Source organism: Homo sapiens, chromosome 4, assembly GCF_000001405.40.
Source record: "Homo sapiens chromosome 4, GRCh38.p14 Primary Assembly".
NCBI lineage: Eukaryota > Metazoa > Chordata > Mammalia > Primates > Hominidae > Homo > Homo sapiens.
Genome location: NC_000004.12, coordinates 151,113,956 through 151,122,655, shown reverse-complemented (window position 1 = coordinate 151,122,655; position 8,700 = coordinate 151,113,956). Strand labels below are relative to the sequence as shown.

At 39.4% G+C, this 8,700-nt stretch overlaps 1 protein-coding gene across 14 annotated transcripts in view; it reads left to right on the top strand.

Moving 5' to 3' along the window:
* SH3D19 (SH3 domain containing 19) overlaps nt 1-2,375 on the top strand; it is a 205,325-nt gene extending 202,950 nt beyond the window's left edge. For all 14 annotated transcript variants that reach the window (NM_001378131.1, NM_001378128.1, NM_001378122.1 and 11 more), the window contains one exon: nt 449-2,375. In NM_001378131.1, the coding sequence (NP_001365060.1) occupies nt 449-565 (117 nt within the window). In that variant the 3' untranslated portion in view covers nt 566-2,375. The remainder of the gene's footprint in view (nt 1-448) is intronic.

Below are 8,700 nucleotides of genomic sequence, written 5' to 3'. Positions count from 1 at the left end.
AATCCCATGCTTTCTGTCCTCTTCTGCCAGTTTATTTGCCTTCCCGTTGTAGAATGAGGGAATATTAATTGTGCTCAGAACAGTGTCTGACACATAGTGGGTACTCAATAAATAATCGTGTGTGTGTGTGTGTGTGTGTGTGTGATAACTGGTATTATTTGTTCAAGAGGGATTTTAGATTAGGAGTGGTGAATTTGAGAGGCACAAAGTATAAGAGGGAAAATCAAAGTGCAGCAAGGGTGGCAGTGGCAAAGGAATGAGATTTAAGGGATAGAGGCTTACAAGCAAATGGCATCATTAGGTATAGATCATTGTTGTCATTTAATTCTCAACAATCAAGATAAATGAGTTATACAGAGAAGATTATTCATGCTGCCCTAGGTAGGCCACTATTTACCATGCTTATTCTCAACAGAAACCAGTAATTCTAACTCCTTTTGTCTTACAGGCTGGAGATATAATAACAGAGCTGGAATCTGTAGATGATGACTGGATGAGTGGAGAACTTATGGGAAAATCTGGAATATTTCCCAAAAACTACATACAGTTTCTACAGATCAGCTAGAGGAGAAGCTTGTCTGTGTTCCTTGGCACAAGAACTCACTTGAACTATCACCTTGACTATCAGATATGTTTTTGCACTATTTTTTTTAACTGAAAAAGAAATATCTAAGCTGTACATGGTACACTAGAATTTTCTGAAAGCAGAAAACGTTCAGATTTTGTAGTTAATTTTCATTACAATAGAAACATGCACATGGAAACCCATGAGCTAGGATTCTACCGAGGAAAACATCTAGTGGGATTAGCAAGGTGAAGGGAAAGCATCTGGTGGCATGGCAGCATGGGGAGGCTCACACACAGAAGTTGCACGTGGACATCTGTTTTAATCAGCACAAGTGAATTAACCATGCTTCTTCATTTTTTTACTTTAGTTAAAAAAGAGGACATTTAATATTCTACATGCTGTAACTATCAGGACATGGTTAGCAATCTCAATTTCATTTTTGATATTCAAATTAATTCTTACAGCTTGAGCATATCAGCCTTATTACCAGAGCAAATCCTTCCTTCAGATGGGATAGTTTACTGACTAGTTGGAGCATTTGTAAGCACATGGTGAAATCAGCCCCTGCCCACCAAAATAATCTTTATGTTACCAAGTGATTCCCATTTGTCTAAGGATTTGAAGGGGGTCTAAATTGGATGTATCTTACTTAGTCTAAAGAACCAAAACCATCCCTGAAATGCCTTGCTAATACAACTAATCCTTCCATATATGTGCCATACTTATTTTTTTCCTCAGTGTATACTTTATGTTAACAGGGTTATTACAAAGCACATTTTCTGAATCTGCAATCATTCCTTTGACAATTACTGGACCCAAAGGAAAATTCATTTTCTTTGCATTATTCCAGTAATATATAAAAACTGTGTCTTGTTATAGTAGTACATTATGAATCACATATAAAATCTTACAATACAGAACAACTGTTAAGATGGAAAACAGTGCCAAACCTCCACAGCTCATTTCTTTGTAATATAATCAGAATGAAAAATAATTTAAGAGGACAGAAGACTGGTACTTTTTTGTTTTATTTTTTCTCTAGCTTATCCCTGCACAATTATTAGAGTGAATGAAAAACCACTTTCCTGCTTTCCATTGTTATAAATTCTAAGCTTAAGATAAAAGTGGTTCTTTACATGACTGAATCAATTACAATTTATGGGCTAGAGCCAAATAGGTTGAAGACAATCATCCAAACAGATCAATGGAATAGAATTTCATTGGAAATGTAAAACACTTTCCCAACAATGGTCATGACTTTCTTCTGTTTTTGAGAAGAGTTTCATATGCTGGACCACATTTTAGCTTTTATTGTTTTTTTTTTCCCATTGTCCAAAAAGTTAAGCAACAAGTGGCCACACTTTTACGTGACTACAACCTGGAGTTCTGCAAAGAAGGTAATATTTACTTGGTCTTTGACTAAAGTTATCTCCCCATTCTATGGTTACATTTTATTTTGGACTATGGGGACTTCTAATACGTTTTGGTAAAGAAGAGAGTATAAAGAAAATTCTTGTCAAATTTCACTCAAAAGTAATTTCATGAGAAATCAATGATTTAAAGCATTATCCAAATTAAATTATCATTTGCAGCAAACTGTACAACAGCAGGAAGGATATGGAATGGAACATGAGGTATATATCTTTGCCTTTATAATTTTAACATCTTATATTGAAGATTCTGAAAACCTATCTTTATTAGAGGAAAATCTCAATCTTCAGTTTTGGCCTTCTGTCAGCAGAATGATAAGTGCAATAGTTGTAAATCTACTTGACACTGTAATAAACTGAACTGAACTTTCAAAGTCCCTTTCTCATACTAGACTGAGTTTTTTGAGAATGGAGGTGGTATCTTTTTTTTTTTTTTTTTTGAGACAGGATTTAATTCCCTTTGACCAGGCTGGAGTGCAATGCAATGTTGGCTCACTGCAGCCTCTGCCTCCTGGGCTCAAGTGATTCTCCTGCCACAGCCTCCTGAGTAGCTGGGACTACAGGCGCACACCACCGTGCCCAGCTAATTTCTGGTATTTTTTTTTCTTTTTGTAGAGACAGGGTTTCGCCATGTTGCCCAGGCTGGTTTCAAACACCTGGGCTCAAGCAGTCTGCCTGCCTCAGCCTCCCAAAGTGCTGGTATTACTGCACCTGGCCTGTGGTACCTTATTTATCTTTGTATCTCTAGTCCTTTGCACCATTCAGCCTCAATAAAGGTTGGTTGGTGGGTTGGGTGAGTTGGTTGGTTGGAATGGATGGATGGATGGATGAATGACTTTCACATACAGCAATACCATCTTGGATTCACTCAATATCTTTCCTCTTTAATTTTTGACATAAATCTATACTAAAAATTCACAGTTTTATGTCATTTCACTCTCATGTTCTATGTTGTGCTTGCCACTTATTACCTACTCAACTGACAGGAAGCAAAAAGGTAACATATGGGCTCTCGTAGATACTTTCTTTTTTTTTTTTTTTTTTTTGAGATGGAGTCTCCCTCTATCGCCCAGGCTGGAGTGCGGAGGCACGATCTTGGCTCACTGCAAGCTCCACCTCCAGGGTTCACGCCATTCTCCTGCCGCAGCCTCCTGAGTAGCTGGGACTACAAGCGCCCACCACCACGCCCGGCTAATTTTTTGTATTTTTAGTAGAGACGGGACTTCATCGTGTTAGCCAGGATGGTCTCGATCTTTTGACCTCGTGATCCACCCACCTCGGCCTCCCAAAGTGCTGGGATTACAGGCGTGAGCCACCGAGCCCGGCCTCATAGGTACTTTCTTATTCTGTATATTGATTGAATTCAAGGCAAGACTGAGCATGTTTAAGGAGAAACATAATTTTTATACTCAGTGAATTTTATGGGAGAGAAATAGGAACACATTCTGTTTCCTTTCAGGAATTTTAGGTTAAAATCTGATCTTGTTCATCTAAACCTCCTCAAACTAGAATCTCTTAATCCTTTTTCTTTGATAAATTAAACCTAGAGGGCTGGGCGCGGTGGCTCACGACTGTAATCCCAGCACTTTGGGAGGCCGAGGCAGGCGGATCACGAGGTCAGGAGATCGAGACCATCCTGGCTGACACGGTGAAACCCTGTCTCTACTAAAAATACAAAAAATTAGCCGGGCGTGGTGGCGGGCACCTGTAGTCCCAGCTACTCGGGAGGCTGAGGCAGGAGAATGGTGTGAAGCCAGGAGGCGGAGCTTGCAGTGAACCGAGATCGCGCCACTGCACTCCAGCCTAAGCGACAGAGTGAGACTCCGTCTCAAAAACAAAAAAAAACCTAGAGAAGCCTTTCCAAGCAAGGCGACTCAGTTGAAAAAAAACCTAGAGAAGCCATTTAATATATTATTCTTATCCTTTGAACACTAAAAGCGTTTTTCTTTAAAAGATGCCCTTGTTTACATGGCTAGAAGGGTAATGGAATATATCTGTCATTGTGCTCATATAAATCACAGGTCTTGAATTCAGTCTGTAATATTCAAAATGAAAGAAAGTGCGTTTATCAGAATTTATTAGTAGAACTTGCATTTGAAAAAAAAATTTTTCTATAAGATTGTAGATCAATACTCCTAACATTCATTTCTTAGTTTTTACTCAGTTTCTTAAGCTTACCTAAATATACCTAGAGAAAATAATGATGACTGTATGGACTAATAATTATAAGGCGATATATTCACTTTGGTATAATCATTAATGGTTTATTTCTTTTAATTAATGTCAAATGCACATGAGCCATATGATTCATGATTCAATGTCATTTTGAATGCCATTGAATGAATTCTTCACAGTGAATTTATTATTTTATTTTATTGTATTGTATTTTAGAGACAGGGTCTCACTTTGTTGCCCAGGTTGGAGTGCAATGGCATGATCTTGGCTCACTGCAGCCTTAGACTCTTGGCCTCAAGTGTTCCTCCCACCTCAGCCTCCCGAGTAACTGGGACTACAGGCATGTGCCACCATATTTGGCTAATTTATTATTTTTTTCATTTTATTTTTTGAGGTGGAGTCTTGCTCTGTTGCCCAGGCTGGAGTGCAATGGCACAATCTGGGCTCACTGCAGCCTCTGCCTCTCAGGTTCAAGTGATTCCCCTGCCTCAGCCTCCTGAGTAGCTAGGATTACGGGCACGCACCACTGTGCCCCGCTAATTTTTTTGTATTTTTAGTAGGGACCAGGTTTCATCATGTTGGCCAGACAGGTCTTGAACTCCTGACCTCAAGTGATCCATCCGCCTCGGCCTCTGAAAGTGCTGGGATTACAGGCGTGAGCCCCGGCATCCAGCCTAATTTTTTATTTTTTGTAAAGACGGGGTTTCACCATGTTACCCAGGCTGGTGTTGAACTCCTGAGCTCAAGCAGTCTTCTCGCCTCGGCCTCTCAAAGTGCTGGGTTTGCAGGCGTGAGCCACCTTGTCCAGCCAACTGAATTTTTTTCAGAACTAACGTGAAGTCATTTTCTAACTTGTGCCTTTTTACTTCACTGTAATTAAAGAAGGAAAAAAAATAGAAAGCCTGACTCAGAACAACACTACCATCTAGGGGCCGCTCTCTTAATTGCGAGCTCATCCTGTTATACCACAGAAGAGAGCCCTTGGAGACCAGAGTTCAACTTGCAGAGGTTAAATGATTTGCCTAAAGTCACAGTTACTTGCAGAGCCTAAAGTAAAACCTATCTCTGCGGATTTCCAATCCAGTTCTTTTTCCGTTTATTATGGCAAAGTGATAACATTTTTTTTAGCAGTTAAACAAGAAGAATTGATCCGTTTCATTGGCCTGTAGTGGTTGTAGCCTCTAATACTTAACGATTAGAAAGAATTACACAGTATGTATTAAAGCCTTGAAGTTTTATCCTTCAGGAAGAAAAGTCCTGTCAGCTTCTTGGTTTTATGTGGACAATTTATATTGATGTTACCTAGAAACTGAAACATGAATGGATCCACTAATGTGGATTCCTTTTTCTCTTTAATAGAAAATATTCAAAAATTTAGAACATCAGATCTTGTACAGCTGTATCTTGTAGGGCTGTGCCCTTGGCAACAGTAGAGCAATCATAAATCTAGATTTTCATTAAAATATAACACAAAACACTGTTATTAGTATTTTGGAGTATAATAGATTAACCAAAGCACTGTTAAGCTGATAGATTTATATTTCAGAGTCTGAGACATATTCTGATTTTTTTAAAGGAATTCTAATTATATGTATACCATGGATTATTTATCTTCAAGTACTGTAAATTAGGCAATAATTAAATGAAATATTTGGTTGTCTATGTTTCACAAAAATTAACTAACAATACCAAAATATTGGCCTCTGGCTGAGCACTATGACTCACGCCTGTAATCTCAGCACTTTGGGAGGCCAAGGCGGGTGGATAACCTGAGGTCAGGAGTTCAAAACCAGCCTGGCCAACATGGTGAAACCCTGTCTCTACTAAAAATACAAAAATTAGCCAGGCTATGGTGGCGTGGGCCTGTAATCCCAGCTACTGGGTGAGGCAGGAGAATTGCGCAAACCTGGGAAATGGAGGTTGCAGTGAGCTGAGATTATGCCACTGCACTGCAGTCTGGGCAACAGAGAGTGACACCATCTCAAAAAAAAAATGTGTGTGTGTGTATATATACATATATGTATATATGTGTATGTGTATATGTATGTGTGTATACATGTATGTGTGTATGAATGTATACGCATATGTATATGTGTGTACACGTGTGTATATATACATATGTATGTGTATGCATAGTATATACATACATGTGTATATATACATATGTATGTATATGCATAGTGTATACATACATATGTATGTATATGCAGTGTATACATACATATGTATACATACGTATGTGTATATGTATATATACGTATACATGTATACATGCATGCATTTATACATATGTATGCACATATATACATATACACATATGTGTATACACATACACACACTTTAAATATATACATACATATACACATACGTATGTATGCGTGTATGTATATACATATACACATACATATATACATATACGTATACACAAATGTATATGTGGTAATATACACATATATACTTACATATACATGCACATATACACATATATATACATACACATATATACGTGTATATACATATATGTATCAAAAAAATAATAATAGGGCCGGGATGGATGTTATACACTTCTAGGAGCTGACACCTGCAATAATTTTTCTGCCTTGACTTCTTTTTTTTTTTTTTTTTCTGAGACGTAGTTTTGCCCTTGCTGCCCAGGCTGGAGTCCAATGGTGCGATCTTGGCTCACTGCAACCTCTGCCCCCAGGTTCCAGCAATTCTCGTGCCTCAGCCTCCGAAGTAGCTAGGATTAGAGGTGCCCGCCACCACGCTTTGCTAGTTTTTTGTATCTGTATTTTTATTTTTGAGATGGAGTTTCGCTCGTCAACCCAGGCTGGAGTGCAATGGTGTGATTTTGGCTCACCGCAACCTCTGCCTCCTGGGTTGAAGCAATTCTCCTGCCTCAGCCTCCCAAGTAGCTGGGATTACAGGTGCCCACCACCATGCCCAGCTAATTTTTATATTTTTAGTAAAGACAGGATTTCACCATGTTGGTCAGGCTGGTCTCAAACTCATGACCTCAGGTGATCCACCCGCCTTGGCCTCCCAAAGTGCTGGGATTATAGGCATGAGCCACCGTGCCCAGCCAATTTTTTGTATTTTTAGTAGACATGGAGTTTCGCCACTTTGGCCAGGCTGGTCTTGAACTCCTGTCCTCAGGTGATCCACCCGCCTCACCCTCCCAAAGTACTGGGATTACAGGTGTGAGCCACCGCACCCAGCCCTACTTTGACTTCTTAAATGATCTTAGCAAATGGAAACTCATTACCCTTCATAGCTGTCACACTTGCATTGCCTATCACAGCGTTACGTCAGAGAATTAATGACTCATTAAATTGGTATGACTGGATATTTAAAGATACTAAAGATTATTACTGAAATTTGGAGCTGTGTTAATAGGATTTTGGTTACATTTCTTTTTAAGAAATCATTTCAGAGATACATGATGAAATATTTACATTTGATAAGTTAAATTTGCTTCAAATAATTGAGGAGGAGAAATTGTCAGGAACTGTGCAGTGTTTGACATTTTACCCAACTTGTAAGCTAAACATTTAGCCTGGCATGGTTTCATGGATGTTAGCAGAAGACATGAGACTTCTGGGACAGGAGCAAAACACTTCATGATAGCAAAAGTGAGAACCAGAGTTTCGTGTTCTTATGTGTCAGTTTCCCATACCCCACCAAATCCCGAGGAGGTGATGCAAAGGGCCCATTATACAGTGAGTTGTGTGACAGGAGAGGAACACTGAGATCCACCACTTTTATAGCAAATGGAAGCAAGCTTGCTTTTTTTCCTGGGGGAGACGTTACCTCATCCTTCAAGGTTGCTCACAAGGGTGCAAACACAGCCCTGAGAAGTGGCCAGGGTAAAGAACAGTCAAGGGATTGTATTCTTGGCATACTCAGCAAGAATGTGCAGAGACACTTAGGGTATACAGCACATTGCCTCTGTCACTATTCACTCCTCAGCCTGACACATTCTTGGCCAAACTTAAATTTTTACACAAGTGTGCTACTCTGACAACCACTTCGATTAAGCTAACCAACAGAAGCCAGAACCAAATCCACTCAGTTTGTCTCACATGACGTTTAATTAAGTCTATTATCAAGACTCAAAGCAGCAGATGAAGCCAACCTGCAGTATTGATCTCAGTCTTACTCTCCAGGGTCCCAGACAGCTTACTGTGAATAATCTCAGGGAGTACCAGTAGGTCTGATTTTAGGCAGCCATGAGGTATTCTAGGGCCAGGGTATTTTATTCATTAAGACCTGTACAGAGTTTAAACTGATCTGTTAATCTCTGGTGTCGCTGCAATAATTAGACAATTGATGGGCCAGAAAGCGACCTCTGTCCTTAATGGGGAGACATCTCATGACCCATTTTTCTCCTACCCATTTTTCCCCTATATACCAAAATATAACCCCAAAGGACACAAGTCACTTTGGTTCAGGACTCGTTGCTAAACCTGATTTGTATCATCACATTGGTTAAGTCACAGGGGCAGTGTCACCAAATAGCTGCAGCTT